General features: G+C 46.5%; 1 annotated feature.

The window, feature by feature from the left end:
• Positions 11944-12444: an enhancer, noted in NCBI's record as "H3K4me1 hESC enhancer chr2:16174407-16174907 (GRCh37/hg19 assembly coordinates)". NCBI's record gives its function as "activates a minimal SCP1, AML or CMV promoter by ChIP-STARR-seq in primed H9 embryonic stem cells {active_cell/tissue: H9 hESC(primed)}" and the evidence as "EXISTENCE:reporter gene assay evidence [ECO:0000049][PMID:30033119]".

Consider the following 22976-nt stretch of genomic DNA (forward strand, 5'->3'; position numbering starts at 1 on the left):
GGTCAGCACCTTGATTCTACTGCCACTAAAATGGTAATGAAGAAAACTACAGAGAACCAAGGAAAAATGACTAAGACATAGGATCAATGAAAACAGTGGACACTGAGATAGTCTCCACACTCTGATTAAATCAGAAAACGTTTGCATCTGGACAACGGTAGAACAGGGTAATAATAATAGTACCACCCCCCAACCAATATCTCTTGAACTTACATGTGTCTAGTGGTTTTTTAAGCTCTTCAAATATATTATTTCACTTAATTGCCACAAAATCCTCATGAGGAATGTAATAACACTATGTGCATTTTACAGATTAGGAAACTGAGGTGCAAGAAATTTAAATAACTTGCCTCGGGCCCCACAGCTAGTGGATGGCAGAGCTGGGACATACACCTGAGGACCTCCTACATGGCAGGCACTTTCGGTGTTCTACAGTGATTAATTCAGTTAATTTTCACAACCACCCTCCCAGGGAGTTATTTTTATCCCCAATTTACACCAGAAAAAACCTGAGACTCAGAGAGAATTCGACAGAGCCAGGAACTGCTCCCTATCCAACAGAGATCACAGAATAGCAGCAAGAGAGGCAAGGGGACACCCAGGTATGAGCACGGTCTCTGAGGCTGTTTTGTTCTGCCTGGGTTCTAGCCCTGCTCTGCTGTTGGAAGCCATGTGAACTTGGGCAAGTTGCTTAATCATTCTGTGGCTCAGTCTCTTCATTTGTAAAATGAGGATAATTTCAGGTAATGACCAGTGCCTTGAAGAAAACTCAACAGAGTGATGAGAGAATGATACAATCACGCCAGGCATGCGGAGATGAGCATCCCAGCTGAGGCTGTGTGTATTCAAGGAACAGAAAAGCTCTAGTGACTGGTGTATGGAGAGAGGGGAGAGTGGTAAAAAGAGGATTTTTCTAAAGAGAGAGTCTAAGCTCCAAATAGGACACAATATAGCCTTGGAGATTAATGTGGATTCTGCATAATATTTGATTTTTCTGAAGTTGTCCTTTATGTTAATACAGCAGTAAACATTTTAGAGGAAACAAATTTGGAATGAAATAACAAAGAAAATCAGTTTCTGAAACTGATCACTCACTGTGGAATCTGAAAGTCACATTTTTCTCACTGGTCAGGGAACAGCTCATTCTCCATCATATTGTTCTTGTTATCACTATAATGATGATCATATTAAGGCAATTATTAAAAATAATTATTACCATTGTTTATTGATTTATAAACGTGCTTTCCAAACTGTAAGACCCTCATTTATATATAAAGAAAGAAAGACCATTAATGAGCAGAGAGCTGGATACTGTCAGCTGCTGCTTTGATGTGTTAATTGCAAGTCATTCTAATCTTATTATTAAAGAAGAGCTTCTGCCAGGCAGTGAGCCCAATTGTAAATACCATATGTACTTGAAATTAATCCGACTGCATTTATTTTGAACACTCCTGCAATTTTCACTTTATACAACTGTTTATTAAGCATCTACTGTGCCCATAGCACCACAGCCAGCTTTTTGGTTGAATAAGGAGCAATAAACGACATGACCGTGGCCTCTGCTTTCAAAGCTCTTAGAGGCTAGCTGAGATTACTAGATGCATCAGCATGAAAAGTATAGGGAATAGGATTTAAAATCAGATGTGATTGCATGTGCCCTGTGACTTTGAGCAAGTTATTTTGTATCTTTGAGCTGCAATTTATCATATAGAGATAGTGATAGAGGCAGGATCACATAGAGGTTACACACTTGGACTCTGGAAACAGACTGAGTTCTGACACCTCTCAGCTGTGTGATCTTAGACATGTTACTTAACCTCTCTGTGCCTCAATTCCCTGTCTGGAAAATGAGGGTAGTGATAGTTCTTGCCTCATGAATTTGCTATGAAGATTAAATTAGTTAATAGTATAAAGAGCTTAGAAGAGTCCCTGAAAAATGATAAATTCTAAGGGTTTATTAAATCAACGAAATAAGTAATGCCTATCTCACAGTATTGCTTTTAAAATTAAATGGAATAGCATATAAATTTCCTAGTATAAAACTTTGCATATAATATTCAATTAATGTTGTTTCTTCCTTTCTTTGCTCTTTTTCTTCCTTTTAGAATAGTATACCAGGAGCATTTTCTGCCTATGTTTGCATATGAGATGTAGACTGGTGGTTCACAAACTTTGCTGCATGTTAGAACCAGTTGGGATCTTTAAATATTCCTGATTCCTAGGCTCACCTTAGATGAAGTAAATCACATTGACTAGGGATAGAACCCAGGAATCAACATTAAAAAAAACTGTCCCACGATTTCAATGTTTAGCCAAGTTGGAGAACCAGTAGAATATAGAATAGCAGGGGCCCAGAAGGTTTCTTGGAGGTCTTCTTCTTTTTTTTTTTTTTTTTGAGATGGAGTCTCACTGTGTTGCCCAGGCTGAAGTGCAGTGGTGTGATCTCTGTTTCCTGCAACCTCCGTCGCTTGAGCGATTCTCCTGCTTTGGCCTCCCGAGTAGCTGAGATTACAGGCATGTGCCACCATGCCCGGCTAATTTTGCTAGAAGGTTTTCACCATGTTGGCCAGGCTGATCTCGAACTCCTGACCTCAAGTGATCTGCCTGCCTTGGCCTCCCAAACTGCTGGGATTACAGGCATGAGCCACCGCACCCAGCCAGGAGGTTTTCTTTTTATTGGCTCATAGAAGTTGTCTTTGCAGCTCAACCTCCTCAGCAACTGAAATTGTACCTTCCACAATCATTATTGGCACTTGTGATGTGTGGGGTACAAAGGGTGCATCATTGAGCAAGGAAAGCAAAGGCCCATCCTCATGGAATTTTCATGAGAAAGTGGAGGTAGACACATGTGGTAAAGGATAAATATAGTGCTAAGAAGGACAGCAGTGCATGCTACAAAGTGGAGAAAACAGCAGTGGTGTAGAGTAGTGCAGAGTGTGGGGTAAGCTCAGGAGAGCTTTTCTGTGAAGTTCAATGTTGGAGCTGAGCCCAGAGTGAGGAGATGGTGCCCCTCACGGGAAGAGCACCACAGGTAGCAGCAACGGCTTCGTGAATTAGAGGGGCAGAGGCTGTGAGGCGGCTGCACAGTGGGTGCTGAGGAAGGACCTGGACAGGAGCACGGGGCATGGAGAAGTGGAGCATGGAAAGGCAGACCCTGGGCTTGCAGGACTTTTTGGAGATGCTGAGGATTTTATTTGGGTTTTGTTTGACCTGCAATAGGAAGCCACCTGAGGCAGATAAGTGATCTACTTTACATTTTAAAAAATGGTCCCTGTCACATGGGTAGGGGCTGGGGCGTTAAGGGTGAGCAGTGAGTGCAGGGGGACTGGTCAGGAGGCTGCAAGTGCAGCTCAAGTTAGAGGTGACCTTGACCACCTTTGGACAAGGGTGGTAGCAGTAAGGCAGGATGGCATCAGTTGGATTGCAGAAACCCCATTGAGGAAGAGCCCATATGTATTAGTCCGTTTTCATGCTGCTGATAAAGAGATACCCGAGACTAGCCAATTTACAAAATAAAGAGCTTTAATTGGACTTACAGTTTCACATGGCTGGGGAGGCCTCACAATCATGGCGAATGGCAAGGAGGAGCAGGTCACATCTTACGTGGATGGCAGCAGGCAAAAAAAATAAGAGCTCGTGCAAAGAAACTCGTGTTTTTTAAAACCATCAGATCTCGTGAGCCGCATTCACTATCATGAGAACAGCATGGGAAAGACCCGCCCCCATGATTCAGTCATCTCCCACCGGGTCCCTCCCACAACATGTGGGAATTATAAGAGCTACAATTTGAGGTTTGGGTTGGGGCCACAGAAGCAAAGCTTATCACTCACTATAGGACTTGCTGATGGACGGGACCTAGTAGGTTCAGGAAGGCGCAGAGTCAAAATGACTCCCAGATGTTTGGCCTGAACAAGTGAATGGATGGTGCCATTTTTAGAGGGGGAGGACTGAGGGAAGAATGGATATCGAGAGGGTGGGAACAAGAGCAAGAGTGATGAGACAGGAAACCAACAACTCTGCAGCAGACAGGTTAAGGTGCCACGTGACATTCAGGTGGAAATGTCTGGGTCCCAGGGAAAGGGTCAGACTGAGATCTCAATGCAGGCAGTGTCATGTTTAGAGGACATTTAAGCCGTGTGCCGGTTGAGATCCACCTCCCTGAGGCTCAGGGTCAGCTGTTGTTCCCCAACATTCTTCAGGCCCCCTTCCCACTGGTCGGAGGCTCGTAGTAGGGTTTCTGGATGTCTTGGGTTGGTACCCGTGGCCAGGCTGGGGATGAGGTGGAGAGACTAAAACTCCTGTTTTTACTGGGAATGCCAGGCCTATTCAGAATCCGGCTCAGGAGCATTTGGGAGAAGCTGTGGTCTCACCTTGAATCAGCTGTGAAATTTCTACAAATGACATGGCCATGCTGTGCAGAACAGCACCTGGGAATAGGTATAGTCTAGAGGGATTTCAAGCATTCTTTTTTTCTCTCTCTGTCTTTCCCTGGAAGCAGAGTTGAGTTGGTTGCCTCGGCAAACTCATCTCAGTCATCTTAAAACTGAGCTTTGAATTTCTTTTCCAGCAACTTCCTGGAAGCAGCACGGTTGAAAGAGCCCTTGGCTGGAAGCCCAGCTGACTGGCTTTGTGATCTTGGGCAAGTCACTTAACCTCCAGGAGCCACGGTGCCTTCATCTGCAAAATGAGGAGGTCAGATGGGGTGTTGGCTCCACTCTCTTTTAGCGCTAATGATCCGGCTCCTTAAAGTCAATTGCTTCCTCTGCTCCTATCAAAGAAGTGAGGCAGAGAGAGGTGGGGAGGGGTTGCCTGCTCGGATCAAAGTGTTGCCTCCCAGAGCCCTTGCCTTCAGCCTGTGGGATTTTCTCATCCTGCCTCTTAAAAACTAAAAGGAAGAGAAATGTGACAATTGAAGACCTTTGTGGATTCTGGGGTGGGACTTGATCAATACTTGATCACCTACTCAGAGCCTAAGCATAAGCTCCTCTTTGGGGAACTAGAGAGGATTAGTCAAAAGAAAGAAGAAAGGAATAACAATAATCATAAAGAGACGATTCATTTCCAGCTCTTAAGAAAGTCATATTCTAATTGCTCAGTAAAGCATAACATTATCGAACCCTTACTATGTTCTAAGAAATGAATGTTAGATAAATGTGGTATATCATTTAATTCTCTTTTAAAATGCTAAATACTTTCCTTTTTATCAATTTTCAGGATAGCTTTGTGCTCAAGCAACTTCTAAGATAAACAATGATGTTTAAAAATTTATTATGAACTCAAAGATTTTTATATATTTCACTTTTTTCTTTCTTTCTTTCTTTCTTTTTTCTTTTCTTCTTCTTTTTTTTTTTTTTTGAAATGAAGTCTTTCTCTGTTGCCTAGGCTGGAGTGCAGTGCGCGATCTCGGCTCACTGCAACCTTTGCCTCTTGGGTTCAAGCAATTCTGCTGCCTCAGCCTCCCAAGTAGCTGGGACTACAGGTGCCCACCACCATGTCGGGCTACTTTTTGTATTTTTAGTAGAGACAGGCTTTCGCCATGTTGGCCAGGCTGATCTCAAACTCCTGACCTCAGGTGATATGCTCATCTCCCAAAGTGCTGGGGTTACAGGTGTGAGCCACCGCACCCGGCCTGTATTTCACATTTTAATCCTTTGGTTTCCTTTTTTTTTTTTTTTTTTTGAGACAGAGTCTCACTCTGTTGCCCAGGCTGGAGTGCAGTGGCATGATCTCGGCTCACTGCAACCTCTGCCCTCCGAGTTCAAGCAATTCTCCTGCCTCGGCCTCCCGAGTACCTGGGATTACAGGCACCTGCCAACGGGCCTGGCTAATTTTTTTGTATTTTTAGTAGAGACAGGGTTTCACCATCTTGGCCAGGCTGGTCTTGAACTCCTGACCTTGTGATTCACCTGCCTTTTGGTCAGGGGCAATCCTTCAAATTTGCTCCTATGTCTTTTGACACAGTTTCCTTGTTTTTTGGTACATTACTTCATTCTTACAACAACCCCAAAGAGATAGACACTATTATTATCTGCATTTTACAGATGATGAAATGGAGTACTGCCCAAGGCCACAAGGCCATTAAAGGTGGCTTTGGGATCTGATCGTCACCACTACACCATATAAACGATTTGAAGAGATACATTAACACACACACACACACAAAAGGATTCAGTAAGCGGCACTGAGTGATGTATTCCTTTTGATCAATTCATTGGCTATTTGTTGGCTCCAATCACATGCAAATTTCTAGGTCTCTGTGGAGCTCATGTTCCAGCAAGCATACTTGTGGACATTGGTGCTCAGGATACTGAGTAGGAAAGGAATTCACTGTGGGCTGCGAAAACCTGGGGAGACCCCCGGGATGGGATTGGAGATGGCCTTTGAGGCCTGATTAAGAGCTTGTCAGGGAAGAGGCATTTCAGGCAGAGGATGGCATGAGCAAAGGTTCAGAGGCAGGAACCGGGCTGGCAGAGGAGGTGGCAGAAACCCACCTTGCCTCAACCCTCTCATTTTCCGTAAGTTTGACCCCAAGACGGGGGAGGCTCACGGATCAAGTGTGTTATGCAAATGATGCTTAAATGTCAAAAGAACACTCAAGTTCTCCGTTGTGGGGGAAGTCACGGGTTATGGGAAGATTTGCCCCAAATGGTCTGCAACATTATGCTATAGTTTTTATTGAACTGTTCCCATACAGAATGACAATGATAGTCCATTTTGCATGGGGTTTAGAGTGGTGTGTGTGTATGTCATGGGATCTCCCCAAGGTAGATGCCATATCTGTTGGTCACTGTGTCCTCAGTAATCACCATACAGGTTGGTTCTTAATAATTTTTAAAAATAGAAATAAAAATTCCTTTAAGACATCATAATTGATAATCCCACTATACGTTCCAGAAAATCTGTTGCAAAGAAATAATCAGGACCCAGACAAACATTTATACCAAAAATGTTCATTACAGAAGTATTTGTATGAAAAAAAAAAACAAAACCTAAGGTGAATGCTTAATTACACTATGGTCCATCCTATGCTATTCTAGGTATGATTGCAGTAGAACCGGAACCTGATGTAGATATTAAATAGCATGTTTACAGAGAGGTGTTTTTTTTTGTTGTTGTTGTTTGTTTGTTTTTAAGAACGAGGCTCACTCTGTTGTCCAGGCTTGAGTGCAGTGGCACAATCTCGGTTCACTTTAACCTCTGCCTCCTGGGCTCAAATGATCCTCTCACCTCAGCCTCCCAGGTAGCTGGGACTACAGGAATGCCCCATCATGCCCTACTAATTTTTTTTTTTTTGTAAAGATGGGGTTTCGTCATGTTGCCCAGGCTGGTCTCAAACTCCTGGGCTCAAGCAATCCTCCCGCCTTGGCCTCCCAAAGTGCTGGGATTATAGGCATGAGGCACATGCCTGGCCCTACACAGAGTTTTTCATCATATGAGATATTCTTAGGACATACTGTTAACGCAAAACATTCAGGGTGTGAAATTATAAACACAAAATGACCCCAACTATGTAAAAACAAATGCATATAAAAAGCCTGGCAAGAAATACACCACAAATGTCAGTAAGTGCTTGTCTGTGAGATGCTTGTTATTTTCTTCCTTTTGCTTTTCTCTGCTTTCTAAAATGGGTATGCCTGACTTTTATAATAGGCAGAGCAAAAGTCACGGAAAGGGTGGCTATTGCGCTTCTTTAGATCCTGACTCAACATTTTCACGAGTTAAAAGTAGAATGTTATTTTTGCCACCTAAAACCCAACATGAAAGCCATGAAGGGTGATGAGCGCGCTGGGAAGGGTGGGTGGGTAAAGGTCCCAGCGGAGCCATCCAGGCAGAGGAATGAGGTCACAGAGTTGGCGTGATGAAGGGCTGGGGGGTCCCCACCTTGGTGGTTCCCACCCCTGCTCCTGGGCTACCTGAAAAGGTAGCTGGGCAAATGCTGGGGGAACCTTCAATTTTACGGCAATTAGGGGCACCCGTGGGCTGGGCAATCAGCCGAGGCTCTGATCTGGTTAACCTCGCTGGGGGTCAGGCCGCGCTGACCTCGCAGTGTTCTCACTCCGAAGCCGCAGCTGGGTCAGTGCTCCCATTGTGTGACCGGTCGACATTAACTCCCGGGCCAAAGAACAGGGCCTGCTCCCCACAGCCCTGCCTCCCGCCCAAGTGGGCCAGCTTTGTTCGCTTCCCATTGGCTCCCATTGTGCCTACTCAGGGGGAAAAAGCCTGCGTTCATTTCCTTACTCTAATGGCTCCATCCTCTTCCAGCCCATAAGCATTTTGTCACTGTGACCCCAGAGGTTATTCAGGCCTTTTGATCTTGCCTACCTCCAGCCCAGTTTCCCAGCTGCCCTGCGGACCCACCACCCAGAGGGTGAGCCTATGGGCAGGATTGGGCCCCGGGCATGAGGAGGGGTTACCTAAGCGGGGGCGGTGTTGGGGGGATTGGAGACCAGGGTGGGGTGGGCTCCAGCGGGAGGCATTTCAGTCTTTCTCTCCATCAGAATCTCCTCTCCTCCTGGAAATCAAAGGCCCAGGGCCTGGGGCCTTCTTCCCTCGGGGAAGAGCCAGGAGGAGCTCTCTCTAAGGCCTCCAGCCCTCCATAGCTGCCCAGCGAGCCGGGCCTGTCTGTCTCCCACTCTTGGCCCCGGTGCATTTCCTAGGACTTTCTGTTTGCTTGCTGGACAGTCTTGTTGTCCCTGGATGTTCAGCCCTGCCCCCCTCACTCCGTCTTCCACAAGTTCTCCCCCACACTCCACATTAATGTAACACTGCCCTATCCCTGTAGCACGGGGTCTATGACAACACTTTGGTGGCCAGCTGCCGACAGCCCAGCTACTTCCCCTTACCTTGGGGTCCACTGTGACCGCCAGCTCCTGGGGACAGATGCCTTGCTTTCTGTATTGTTGGAGCCTCCCTCCCCACCCCACAGCCTGGAACAATGAAGGGTAGTGTTCAGTCCCTTTGAGCCAGGAATAGGGTGACTTCGGATGTTTTTAGAAGGAGCTTTATAGACTAGACAGGAATGAATAAGGTTTATGACCCAAATTCTTCTGATAGGCGTCTAAGATGTTGAGAGGTGGTAGAGGTACTGGAAAGGGCTTGGTGAGTTTTTAAAACATGAAAGGATCGATTTATTTGCTCACTTATTTGTACAAACAGGAATGGAACCCCTTCTCTGGATGACTGTTAAATTGCTCTTAGCACTGGGAAAGCAGACGGTAAAAGACTCTAGTCCTGCCCGTGCTGGGTTCGTAGTCTGGTAGTGGTGACAGGTACACAGAGAGGAACTCACGACCCACCAGGAGGTCTCCTGACAGCTCAGCCCTTATGCATGTTTAATTCTACACAGAGGGAGAAGGAGCTGGACCTTAAAGAAAAGGTTAAACTTACTGAGACAGATGTAAAATGTCCACCACACCAAATTTATTAGGCAATATTGTATAGCCTGGGAGAATTAATCTATTTCCTCCAAAGTGAATAATCTCAATTCAAATTCCAATTAATGGCTTTGAGGAAACTACACTGAAGCATCAAACAGCAAATTAAATACAGCCTTTTCTGTTTGCCTCTCGACAGCCGGATGCACTTTATTGACATTTGTCTCTATGCCTCTTCAGGAAATTTGGGCTCGCCCATCGGCAGCCAGCCAGCACTGCCTGTGCTCCGTGCCAGCCCTTCAGGAATCTACCTAGAGTCCCCTCTCCAGCAGGGTGGAGTCTATTATGGGTCGATTAGCTGCTCCTTTTCAGCGCAGATTTAACACTGTCCAAAAGGTAAACTTACGTTTTCTCATTAGTACATTCTCCTTCATTCATTCATTTCCAATCTATAATTAATTCTTTCTCAGTTAATGAGTTATTTTCATTTCTTCATTACACAAGTGCTTTGCTAAGTGCTTGGCACCATGCTAGGTTTAGGAGTTATAAAAATGAATACAGGGTGGTCTCTGCTCTGAAAAAAAATTATTTTAGTGAGGGTCTCTGATGAGGCCACCTGGGAAGTGCTGTGCTGAGGGAGAGAAACATATTAGGGAAACCTTTGGGAGGGGCCTTAACTCTATTTGGGGATAGCCAAGAAGGCAAAAGCTTTGCTGGACAAGACTACACTGAAAGCTTTCCTTTGTATTTTTTGAAAAGTGTTTTAAGAGATGGACTCTTGCTATGTTGCCCAGGCTGGTCTTCAACTGGGCTCCAGTGATCCTCCTGCCTTGCCCTCCCAAAGTGCTGGGATTACAGGTGTACACCACCATGCCTGGCTCCTTGAATGTGTCTTAAAAGTTAAAGAACTATCAGGTGAGGAAAAGGGGAGGGGTGGAGAGTTGTGTTTAAGGTCAGAAGGCAGGTGGATTAATCGGGGAGACCTTGGAAACAGGGAGGAGGTTGGCATAGGAATCCAGGCTGGACCCCAAGTAGGCCCTGGCCCTCGTTTCCGCAGCGCCCCTTCAGGGTGGGGATTGTGCATCCCATCAGTGTGGTTTCTTTTTTTTTTTGGAGACGAAGTCTCGCTCTGTCACCCAGGCTGGAGTGCAGTCGCCCAATCTTGGCTCATTACAACCTCCGCCTCCTGGGTTCTTGCAATCCTCCTGCCTCAGCCTCCCAAGTAGCTGGGACTCCAGGTGCGCACCTCCGTCCTGGGTTAATTTTTTGCATTTTTAATAGAGACTGGGCTTCGCCATGTTGGCCAGGCTGGTCTTGAACTCCTGACCCCAGGTGATCCACCCGCCTCAGTCTCCCAAAATGCTGGGGTTACAGGCGTGAGCCTCCGTGCCCAGCCCCATCAGCATGGCCTCTGCTGGAACATCCCACTGTGTCCTGGGCATGGGCCGCAGTTTGACCATGACCTCCTGATAGACTGCAGCTCTGGACACCAGATTTGCCCATACCACTCTTTAGCAGGACCTACCTTTGTCCCTCATAAACTCCCTAGCAGCATGGGGAAGCTCCACCATCCTCCAGAATGGTTTGCCTGGTCTGTGCAAGTAGCTTTCTTTCTTTCTGTTTTTAGTTTTTGGAGATGGAGTTTCACTCTGTGGCCCAGGCTGGAGTGCAATGGCGCCATCTTGGCTCACTGCAACCCCCACCTCCCGGGTTCAAGCGATTCTCCTGCTTCAGCCTCCTGAGTAGCTGGGATTACAGGCGTGCACCACCACATCCAGCTAATTTTTGTATTTTTAGTAGAGACAGGGTTTTACCATGTTGGCCAGGCTGGTCTCGAACGGCTGACCTCAGGTGATCCAGCTGCCTTGGCCTCCCAAAATGCTGGGATTACAGGCGTGAGCCACCTCACCCGGCCGCAAGTAGCTTTCTAGAACACTCACTGCCTCTGGACAGTCCTACATTTAGTTGAGCGGCGTCTTCTCCCCCACCCCACTCCCCGGATATGTGGACAGATGCCGCCGAATGCACTGTCTGGATGTGAGGCAGAAATATAATTATTTTCCTTTCTCATAAGGAAAAGCTAATTACTAGAAGGAATCCTAGCATAATTACACAGTTAGGCTTAGCGTCTTGGTACACATTGCTTCCTGGCAAAGACGTCCAGTTACCTTATAGCCATTTGTTGGAGGCAGGGGCGGCCATTTCTGATTCTCTCCTGCTCCCCTACCCCATTGTCTGCCCCTCACTGATGACCCCTTGGGGTGGGTAAACTGAGTCAGATGCCCAGGTAACAGGACCAGGGAGCAGTGCCTACAGCCGTCGGCTCCTCACTGTCCCTTGTAGGGGAGTTACCAGGCCACTCACACAGAGGGGAGAGCTGGTGCTCAGGGAGCCTGTGCCACTCGCTCGGGATCTCTCCTCTCCCTGTAGGAATTGAAGCTGGGATTGGAACCTGGGTCTCTCTGGCTGGAAAGCTTCCCCCTTTCTCCATGACAGCCTCGCCATGGGATGTTTGACTTAGCTGTCACAGTGCCCCATGTGGACGGCCAGGGAAGGAATGAGGAATGTGCTTCTCAGTGGGCCGGGCCAGGTAGGGGGAATATTTGCAGTGTGGTTGAGCTCCTACTGGCATGCCCTGGCAGAGAGGGTGGGATCCCAGGTGTGGTCCTGGGGGGTGGAGGGCAGCAGTGCCCAGCCCAGAGGGGGTGAGTGTGTCTCATCAGGGGTGCTTCCATCCCTGGGGGCCCACCCCATCCCAACACAGACAGGGAGGCAGCGCTCTACAGAGGAGGGCCAGCTGGCTTTAAAGTCTGTGGTTTTCTCCACAAGGAGAGATGGGCCAGGAGACAGTATGAGGATGTTCCAGGCAGAAGAAAGAGAAGAGCAAAGAATTGAGCAAAGGCCAAATACTGGAAGTGGGTCAAACTGGCAGGGGTGGAGTGGAGATGGAGGGTTTGGGGGGAAGTGGGGTGGAGGGGAGTGTTTTGTTGAGTGAGTGGTGACTACTGGCCCGGATCACATGGCACCACTGTGAGTTCTCATCTGGAAGGGGTGGAGCTGACTGCAAAGGTTCCTTCCTATTTGACACTCTGTAAGTCAATATTTAAAATATGCTTAAATAGTTAGAATGCTGTTTGGACACATTGATCAAGGATGTTAAACTATTCATACCCTTTGACTTAGTAATTCAACTTCAGGAAATCTTTCTGAAGAAAATAGACATATAAACAAGGATGTTTGTTACAGCATTGTTTATAACAGGGAAAAATTGGGAATAACCTAAAGATCCAGCACGAGGGGATTCACTGCGTAAACTCTATTACATCCTGACAACAGGTTTTCAGACAGTAGTTGAAAGGATGTTTGTGAAGACTTTATAAAAACAAATGGAAATGGTTATATCATAATACTATGGGGGAGAGACACCAAGAGGTCAAATGATGCATTTAGTCACAATGGTGAACACACACAGTCTCATAGAGCAACAGACATGGAACTAGCATACGGAAAAGCTAGAAAGAAGTATTAATGGTATTTGTCTTTGGTTGATGAAACTACAGGGAATTTAAAAACTATTTTACTTTGCTAATAAAAAGGACAAACTTGGCTTGCCAGGGTGGCTCACACTCATAATCCCAGCACTTCGGGAGGCTGAGGAGAGCGGATCGAAGAGTTCAAGACCAGCCCGGGCAACATGGTGAAACCCTGTGTCTACAAAAAATACAAAAATTAGTCGGGTGTGGTGATGTGCATTTGTAGTCCCAGCTACTCGAGAGGCTAAGGTGGGAGGATCGCTTGAGCCCAGGAGGCAGAGGCTGCAGTGAGCTGTAATTGTGTCACTGCACTCCAGCCTGGGTGATGGAGTGAGACCCTGTCTCAAAAGAAAAAAAGAAAAGATAAACTGTATTAATATGTTAAAAAAAGTTAAAACACAAAATAGGAGCAACAAAAACAGGACAAAAACTCTAGGACAAGGGCTGGACAATTCTCATTCCTCTCTGGCAGCTGCAGACTATGACTGGTCCATGCCTTGGCAGGAGACAGCCTCAGGCCATAGAAGAGACCTTGGAAACAGACAACCATGTAAGGAAGCTTTGGAGGTGGGGGTGATGGGGGACCTCAGACCGAAAGGCAGGTTTCTTAGTGAGTTCAACTCCCCTGAGGCTCTGACTGGAGCCGTCAGGTCGCACTGAATCTCAGGGGTCTGTCAGCACCTGCAGTGCCTGAGCTGACATGGAGAAAGTTGTGAGTCTATCTAGGGTTTTGCAAAATGTTAAAATGGCCTAATTTCTGTCTTTAAACTTCTTAGGACACAGTGGGAGGCCAAGTGGTTTGACGGTCGAGTTTAGACTGTAAGCTCAGAGAATCAGGCCCAAATCCTGCTTCTACTTCTTATTCCTCCTAAATTCTTGGGTTTTGTCTGTCAAAGAGGGAATTATAACCCAGGCTCCAAAGAGGTAGGCACAGGAATTTAAAGGAGGTCTTGTCTGCAAAGTGCCTGAAACAGAGGAGGGCTCAGCACCCGGTAGCTCACGTTTGCAGTACTCTTCTTAGCTAACAGGTAACCTGACTTCACTGCTTCTTTCTTTGTTGGTGAGAGGCGTTTTCCTGGTTGTGAGCAGTGGCTGTGACCATCCAGTTTTAAATTGGCCAGTTTGGTTAATGACATGGCCTAGCAGGCAGTCCTCATTGTGTGATGAGCACTAAATTAGTCCCACAAAGGAAATTGCTTTACTGATGTCCTGTACTGGTACCAATGAGAATCTTCTTCTCTCCCCAGGATAAAGCAGGTGGCCAATTGCTCCACGCTGCCGAAGGGTTTTACATGTCTGAGACCTGGAGGCAAAGCTGGCTTTTACAGGGGCTGGCTTGGCTCCTGGGGAGGTGAGCTTGTGTGCCCTTCTGACATGTCTTCCACCTGCTTGGCACCAGTTTAGTGAACACCTTTAGGTTCCATGGCTATGAGCAAAATCTTCCCATTGTTGCTAAATGGAGATTTCACAAAGGTTGATGACACGTATTTTCTGACCAAATGGTTCAGGGAAACCCTGAGAGCTCCAAGATGACCGAATAAGCTAGGGGCTTAGATGGCTAGGATTTTTGGGGTTGCAGGGGAGACTATGTTGTCTAGAAAGGCCTGCTAATTGATGCCTGCTATTCCACCATGCCAGCCCCAACTCTGCAGAGCCTTGAAGGCACTTAGGTCTCAGGTCTCTTTTTCCAAGGTAGACCATCTTGGGAAGGTCACGTCCTATACCATTACTGGTAGCTGTCATTAGGTCAGGTTAATAGGAATTAGTAAGGATAGAGTGCTGGCTAGGTCCTGAGAAGCATGGCCAGGCAAAAGTCAAACCAGACAGGAGAACAGCAGTGGAGACAACACAGACCAGCCCTCTCTGATCCCCTGGGATTTAGATTCCATCTGTTTTTAAGTGTAGTTTGAAGTTAAGCCTAAAGCATGATAATGATTAAGGTAGGAGAGAATCTAGGGAACCATCTTGCATGGGGGTGGGATGGGTATGGGATGGTGTCAGGGAGATAGTGAGTGACATTGGTGCATGATGCACAGGCAGGGGACATCGAGGGCTTGGCTGTTCAACTAGGACCTGAGGGGTGGCCGAGATGACCCTCCAGAGTCACTTTCAAGCCCAAATATTTGCCTTCCATTCTTAATGCAGCAGAGAAGTTCCTTCTGATTTGTTGATCTCTGGTTGATACCCGAGCATTGGGGTTGTCATGGAGTCAGGATCGACTGAGGAAAGTGAATTGGGAGCTGCCACAAAATCGGATTCATGCCCACATGGCTATTCATACATTTCATACATTCACATTAAATGCTGTCATGTGAGGACTCCTAACGTCCCTGTGCCTGGACTGTAAGTAGGAAAAGGACCATAGCATGTCTGGGCCATACTTTTTCAGATGGGGAGAGTGAGGTCCAGAGGGGAAGTGACTTCCCCACTGTGAGTCACAGAAATAATTCACCCCAGTCACCAGGCCCCTGTTTTCTTGGTTTCTAGACCCTCTATCTCCTTTTTGTGCCCTGAGTCTTGGATCACTCCCCCCAGGCAGGGCTCTTAGGCGTTTCCTGCCTCATGTGTACAATTGTGAGGATTTATTGTAGCTGGGATTTTGTTTCAAGCCTTTAATATGATTAGCAAACATCAAATATCAAAAGCTTATCTAGTAAACACCTCCCGTCCATGCCATGGATGTTATGGTCAGCTCTGGATTGAAGTCGAGTCACATTTCAAAACAGATGCAATTTCAAGAGGCCAGAGCGAGGCCGCCGCATCTGCTGGCTGTGATCTTTCGTGTGCAGTAAATGGCATTGTTGGAGAGCTGGGCTGTAAAACTCAGCCTGGTCAGCAGGACCTGCTCACAATGCAGGGAGCTTTCCGGGGGATTTTAAAAATGCAGTCGAGCACTCCGAGCCTGGTGGGCAGTCTGCCGGGGCAAGAACAAGCCGTCTGTTCAAGACTGGGATGTTCAAATCAAATATTTGTAATCTTTGACCAAAATTTAAGTGATACTCTTAGGAACCAGTGGGGTTTCCAGGAATGACTCTGTCAGGGGAGGAGGGAGGGAGATGGTGAGCGTTTGTAAAAGAAGACTATGGTGCCTCCCAAATCTCACAGTTTAAGCCAACAGAAGCACACTTCCATCCTTTTCCTAGACACGAGATTAAAAAAAAATTCTTTGTTCTATTTGTGAGTAAAAGTGCTGGAGGAATCTAAGGTCTGCTCAGTGGTGTTTCCCTTGGGTCCGTGGATATTGTGGCGAAGTGCAGTGCGTCTTGTTGGACATATCAAGACCAGAGGCTGGGCTCTGTCCCAGTGCCACTGAGCACTCCAGCTCTTCTTCACGGATGCTGGGTGTATTTATGTGAGCACATGTGTGTGAGAGAGCAGGAGAGTGGGTGAGTACATGGACTTCCGAAGGATTCCGATCGGTGCAGCTCAGCCCCTACCATGTCCAGGCCACTTTGCCCTTCCTGCTATTCCCATGGGAGGCAGGAGACACCCTATCTGGAGGACTAATGTTTCCCCAAGTACCACAGCCCATGGAGTTCAGTGACCCGTTCCAGCTGTTTCTGGCGGCAGCGCTGAAGCTGTCGGCAGCCCGGCGGGTGGCAGGGTGGGTTACACCGTGGAAAATGCCTTCCTAATGGGGCAACAGCTGCCACCGGCAAGAGCTCCAGGAATTGGTGTAATGAGAGAAATTGTTCTCTGCTGCTGGGTATGGCTGATTTCACCCATAAAGGAAGATTTGCTGCTTCCAACAGGGGAGGCACTCTCTTGTTTAGATTCCTGTAAGTCGATGAGGAGTGAGCTGTAGCCATGAGAAAGTCACCAAGGACTCTTGCAAGAACATGGGGCTTTGCTCTGTATTCTAGCTGGGGGTGAACTGGCCCAAGCTTGATACCATCTGCAGTGTACCGTGTTGCTGAAGTTCAAAGTCACCTGGGTTTCTCAAGGTGAATCCCAATCTAGGTGCTGCATCTGGGAGGGGGCAAGAGCAGAGTGAGAGGGCAGGGATCATTCTCACAGGACTGGAGGGTGGGACTGGAAGGGATTTCCACCTGCCTGCCACAGCCAGTGGCTCAGGGTGTTGACATTGCCACACTGACCATTGCTAAAGTCCAGTGAGGCTTCCCTCACTCCCTTCCTCCCTCCCTTCCTTCCTTCCTTCCTTCCTCCCTCCTCCCTGTCTCCCTCCCTCCTCCCTGTCTCCCTCCCTCCTCCCTGTCTTCCTCTCTCTCTCCTTCCTTTCTTTCTTCCATCCCTTCCCTTCCCTTCCCTTCCCTTTCCTTTCCTTTTCTTTCTTTCTTTCTTTCTTTCTTTCTTTCTTTTTCTTTCTTTCTCTTCCTTTCTCTTTCTTTCTTTCTTCCTTCCTTCCTTCCTTCCTTCCTTCCTTCCTTCTTTCCTTCCTTCCTTCCTTCCTTCCTTTTTAAACTTTTATTAAAGTTATTCAGGCACACTATTTAAAACTTCCCCAAGGCTTCTTGTGAAAAGCAGCAGTTTCCCCCACCCTCTTTCTTCTTGTTTCCTTTTCCCCAGAGGCAGTGACTTTTAACTCTCCTGGTTGAATCTTGTTATTTTCTTCCTCCCCTTTCAGCAACATATTGTTTCTTGATGTGACAGCTTTAGGAACAATCTGTACACTTTGCACCATGGAAGATGAACATTTAGCTTCTTTTATATCGGTCCCTGTCTCAATACCACTGGCGCCAGCGCCAGTGCCTGATCCTGAACTAGTTTTGCTACTTCTCAGACCCGGCTTCATCATGAAGGTCGGCGTTAGGGTTACTGATTATTTCCTTTTCTGCCCAGGTCTGTTTAACTGGTGGACACCAATCACCTTTCTGTTGCCTGTAGTGCTTTCCCACTGATAGAATTCCCAGTTCACCTACTACAACTAAATGACTCAGAAAAGTGTCCAGAGAGCTGGAGATGCAAGTGGGAGGAGGGGGTCCCTAGTCGTGCTCAAAGCACCTACTTTTCTTGCTAACTCTAAAGGAAGGAAAGCAAGGGCTTTCACTCTGTTCAACTCTGGACTCTGGGTTTGGGAGCATGATTTTTTTTTTTTAATTAAAAAAATGTGCCCATTACAGTAAATTTCTATTGATGTAAACATTGCAGTTCTCCTGACAATGGCCCTCACATCACAACTCTGGGCAGGGAAGAGCAAAGGGGCTCAAGCAATAGAATGGAGCCCAGACACTCGCAGCCAAGTGAGGATAAAACTATTTCTCAGTGAATGTGGAAAATGTGGAGTTAGGAGCTAAAATTACCCACGAAAAGGCTGACTGGTGCATGCAGACCCCAAAGCAATGCGATGTATTCCATAAGGCAGGGAATTCTTGGAAAACCTGTGTGTTGGTAAAGTGTGTCTTTCTCCACCTTTCTACCCCTGCAATACTGTGTGATAGAGAAACCTAGTTGAGATTAGAAATGCACTTTTCTCAGGGCTCAGGAGACCCAGGAGAGGTGGGCAGGGGACACATAAATAATAGAGGAGATATGGCAAATGCATTAGAAGTGAGCCATCTGTCCCTGCTGCAGAACTGAGCCGTGAAAATGTGATTCAACCACAAGCTCTCAGAACAGGGAAGGACCAGTTTACATTTATGACAGGCCCTGGATGGAGCATCGTGCTTGGCACAAAAGTGGATGCTTGAACCGAATTTGTCTTCAATAAATCAAACAGCTCATTTTGCAAATAAGTAAACTGAAACTCAAAGAATTAAACTGGCATGTCCCGGGTCATGCAGCAGGTTCATGGTGGGGCTAGTAGAGCAGCCCAGATCCCCTGACTCCTCTACTCCCTGCACCTCTTCTATTGATTCATTCAGCACAAACCTGTGCCAGGTACTGTGTAAGATGCTAAGGAGTAAAAACGCAGAAGAGGCTGGGCGTGGTGGCTCACACCTGTAATCCCAGCATTTTGGGAGGCTGAGGTGGGTGGATCATCTGACGTCAGGAGTTTGAGACCAGCCTGGCCAACATGGAGAAACCCCATTTCTACTAAAAATACAAACATTAGTCGGGAATGGTGGCGGATGCCTGTAATCCCAGCTACTTGGGAGGCTGAGGCAGGAGCACTGCTTGAACCTGGGAGGTGAAGGTTGCAGTGAGCTGAGACGGTGCCATTGCACTCTAGCCAGGGTGACAGAGTGAGACTCTGTCTCTAAATAAATAAATAAGTAAAAAGACAGAAGACCAGACTCTGTGTCAGAGGAGCTGAGAGTTTGGCTGGGAGGCCACAAGTAAACAAATAATTACGGAAGTGTGGAATGCTGTGATGGGACGAACTTATGCAAAGGACTTTGGGAAAATGGAGAAGGGGGAATTAATTTAGATTAGGAATCAAGGTGGGGGGGGGCTCCCAGAGGAAGTGATAATTGAATTTGATCATGAAGGATGAATCAACTCAGCCCAAACGAATATGGCCAGACTTCCATTATACGCTCTGTTGACAGAAGATGCCAGGACAGCTGGGAGGAAAGGGTCTGGAGGCAGGGAGATCAGGGAGGAGGCTCTCGTACTTCTCCAGGTGAGAGAAGACATCAGCTTGAACCAGCAGGACAGTGGCAGGGAAATGTGAAGAAAGGGAAGATTTGAGAAATACCTTGGTCCAAGAGGTGCATCACCCTGTGGTTGGCTGGAGGAGGGTGGGAGAGGGAGGGCCTAGGCTGACTCCCAGGGTCCTGACCATCCAGGTATTTGCCTGGATGGTGATGCCATTCACTGGAATGGAGGACACAAGAGATGATGAGAGAGGTTTTTGGGGAAAAAGGGTAAGTTCAGGTTTGAGCTCCCAGCATTTGACATAGGTGGACATGGGTGAGAAATCTAAGAAAAATATTCAGCAAGCAGTTGAACTGAAGGCTTTTAAATACAGAAGAGAGAAATTGGAGGTGTAGATGGTTGTCAAAGTCATAGAAAAGGAGTGGTATCCGTCAGGGGCACGTGCAACAACAGAAGAAGCTTGAGGGCAGAACCCCGAGGAACACCAACATGTTGGGGGGGGACACGTAAAGGTGTCTGCAAAGGAGAACCCAGAGACATAGGAGGACCTGCTGTCAAGGAGAGAAAGTTGATTTCAAGAAGGAGGTGATGGTCAATGTGTCTAATGCAGCAGGAAAGTCTAGGAAGGAAAAGACTGGTGAAGCCCATTGGGTCAGGCAATGTGGTGGAGAGTGAACACCAGAATTCGGTAGAGCAGTGCACCTTTGGGAGCCAACTTTCATGTCATACAGACACTCTCTCTGGCCTTGGGATGAACAGAGGATACCAATCTGCAGTCCTAGCTCCTAGAGACCCATGGAAGAGCTGACCTAGCAGGCCAGGGGATGGATTCCAGCCCAAGCTGAGGCCAAGCCAGTTTGACTGATGAGGAAATAGTGTCCATTTCTTCTTCTTGACAACTCTATACCCTGGTGAATGTTTTTTCTCCCCACTCTGACTGGTGTACACATTTATGAGCATCCAGTGCCCAATGTTTGCTGCTCTTTCTAGGTGGAGATTCACCAGAATGAGATATTGCAGAACCAGGATTCAAAGGTAAGGCCCACAGTCCACAGAGTTTTAAATTTTTTTTAAATTAATTAATTAATTAATTAATTTTTTTCAGACAGAGTCTCGCTCTGTCCCCCAGGCTGGAGTGCAGTGGCGTGATCTCAGGCTCACTGCAAGCTCTGCCTCCTGGGTTCACGCCATTCTCCGGCCTCAGCCTCCCCAGTAACTGGGACTACAGGCACCTGCCACCGCGCCCGGTGAATTTTTTGTATTTTTAGTAGAGATGGGGTTTCACCCTGTTAGCCAGGATGGTCTCAATCTCCTGACCTTGTGATCCTCCCGCCTCGGCCTCCCAAAGTGCTGGGATTACAGGCGTGAGCCACCATGCCCGGCCGTTATTTTTAAACTCTCTAACAAGATCTCCTTCCTGATGGGAAGACTGAGCTAAGCAGTTTCATTTCTTCTTTTCTTGAATAAATCCACTGGCAAATCTTGTATGTGTGATCTCTAAACCTTGGGTTAGATGAGGACCTTGCATTTATTCTTTGGATGAGAAAAATAAATGGCAAAGATGGGCCCCAGATAGACATGTGGGGTATGTTATACATATTTCTGCTTGTTTGTGTAATAAGCCATTTAGGAACCAGACAGATAAAGGGTATGTGTATTTTCCACAGATTATTTCCAGATTTTTACTCATTTAATAGTTTCCTATGAGTGTCCATGGTGGGGTGGCTGGAGAGCCAGTTTTGACTTTGACCCAAATGGCGCTTAAACCTTTTCATTAAAATTCTGCTCTTCTAAAAAAAATCAGAGGAGTTTGAATTGTCACGTCAATGAAACAAGACCATTCAAGACTAGAGAAAAGAGACATGGGAATATCCTGTGTGGGGAGAGAGAAAAGCATCACAGGTAGTTGGGATAAGGTAGAATTGCAGGTGAGAACTACCTTTGTTAAGCTTCTTGATCCCAAGGCAAGAAGGAAAACGAGCTGGTTGTATAATTGTCTACATTGAAATTACATAAATACAATCAGCAATGATTTTAGAGATTGTATAATTGTATATTTAGACAAAAGGGCTGGTATGGAGGACAAGGAGCCCCACTGGCTTCAACACTCCCATCTGCCCCCATCCTGGTATAGGGCTTCACGAAAAAGTGTAAGTCACTTTTCTCATTTAGCCACTTCATTTCACAGATGGGGTAACTGAGGCCAAAGAAGTGAATGCATTTGCTCAATGTCATTCAGTTAATTGGTGGGTGAACTGGGACTAAATTCTGAGTCTTCTGCCTGCTTTTCTATCTATAGTCATTTTATGAGTCTTCAAGAAAATCTATTATTTAAGGTTTGATTCTTATTAAATCCACTAAACATTGGCCAATCTCATCATTCAGAGGTAGGTCCTATTAACATTCAGACACACACAAACGCAAACACAATTTATAGGTTATATATCCATTTATTTTTGCCTTTCTTGACTTAACATTATATCATAGTTTCTCATATTGTTACACATTTTTCTTTGACTGTGATTTTTAATATTTATATCAGGTATTGCTGGGTGTAGTGGCTCATGCCTGTAATCCTAGCACTTTGGTAGGCCGAGGCTGGTGGATCACTTGAGGTTAGGAGTTCGAGACCAGCCTGGCCAACATGGTGAAACCCCTTCTCTACTAAAAATACAAAAATTAGCCAGGCATGGTGGCAGGCACCTGTAGTCCTAGCTACTAGAGAGGCTGAGGCAGGAGAATTGCTTGAACATGGGAGGCAGAGGTTGCAGTGAGCCAAGATCGTGCCACTGCACTCCAGCCTGGGAGACAGAGAGAGACTCTGTCTCAAAAAAAAAAAAAAAAAAAAAGATATTACTATAAGGATATATCATATAATAAACTATTGGAAGGATTGGCTGTCTTTTATCCCCAGGTAAAATCTGTTTAAAGACATGCACATCTGCCCAGCCTTCTGGGGGAAACAACCCCAGGAAAATTTTCCAGCTCTGAAAGCTCAGCTCACCTTCCATATAGTGATATTTGAGAGGATGACCTGTAGCTTCTGAATTCCAGGGAGTAGCTTCCATTATTTCAATACTTTTGGCCAATGTCTTCCCACAGCTTTATTTCCACAACCACGGCTTGGCTTGCTGTCTGGGCTGGAAGCACTCAGTGCTTCCTCACTCAGCTGAGGAGCAAGGGGAAAGCCACTGACTTATCCAGCATCAGTAGCGGAATGTCCGAAAGAGTTGGGCATTGACCAAAGAGGACATCGATTCTTTGGGATTTAGAAGGGCTAACATAAAATCGATTCCTACAAGACTAACAAATTGGGAAAGAATAAGGAATGGTGTTCAGAAAGATGACCTCAGTCATGGCCAGGCCTGAAAGCACCTCCGAATCATCAGAGAAAAATTGCACTGCTGCCAGGGTGGTTATAATGTCAGGTTCTGTTTATGATGTCTGGATGCCTTGAAAATTAATCATTTAAGAAAAAACATTATTTATTTATGACCCATACTCTACTCCCCTGCTCTATCCCTCCCCACCTCCTTAAAGGCAACACATTTTGGCACTTTAAGTTGGTTTT

Source organism: Homo sapiens, chromosome 2 (genome assembly GCF_000001405.40).
Source record: "Homo sapiens chromosome 2, GRCh38.p14 Primary Assembly".
NCBI classification, from domain to species: Eukaryota; Metazoa; Chordata; class Mammalia; order Primates; family Hominidae; genus Homo; species Homo sapiens.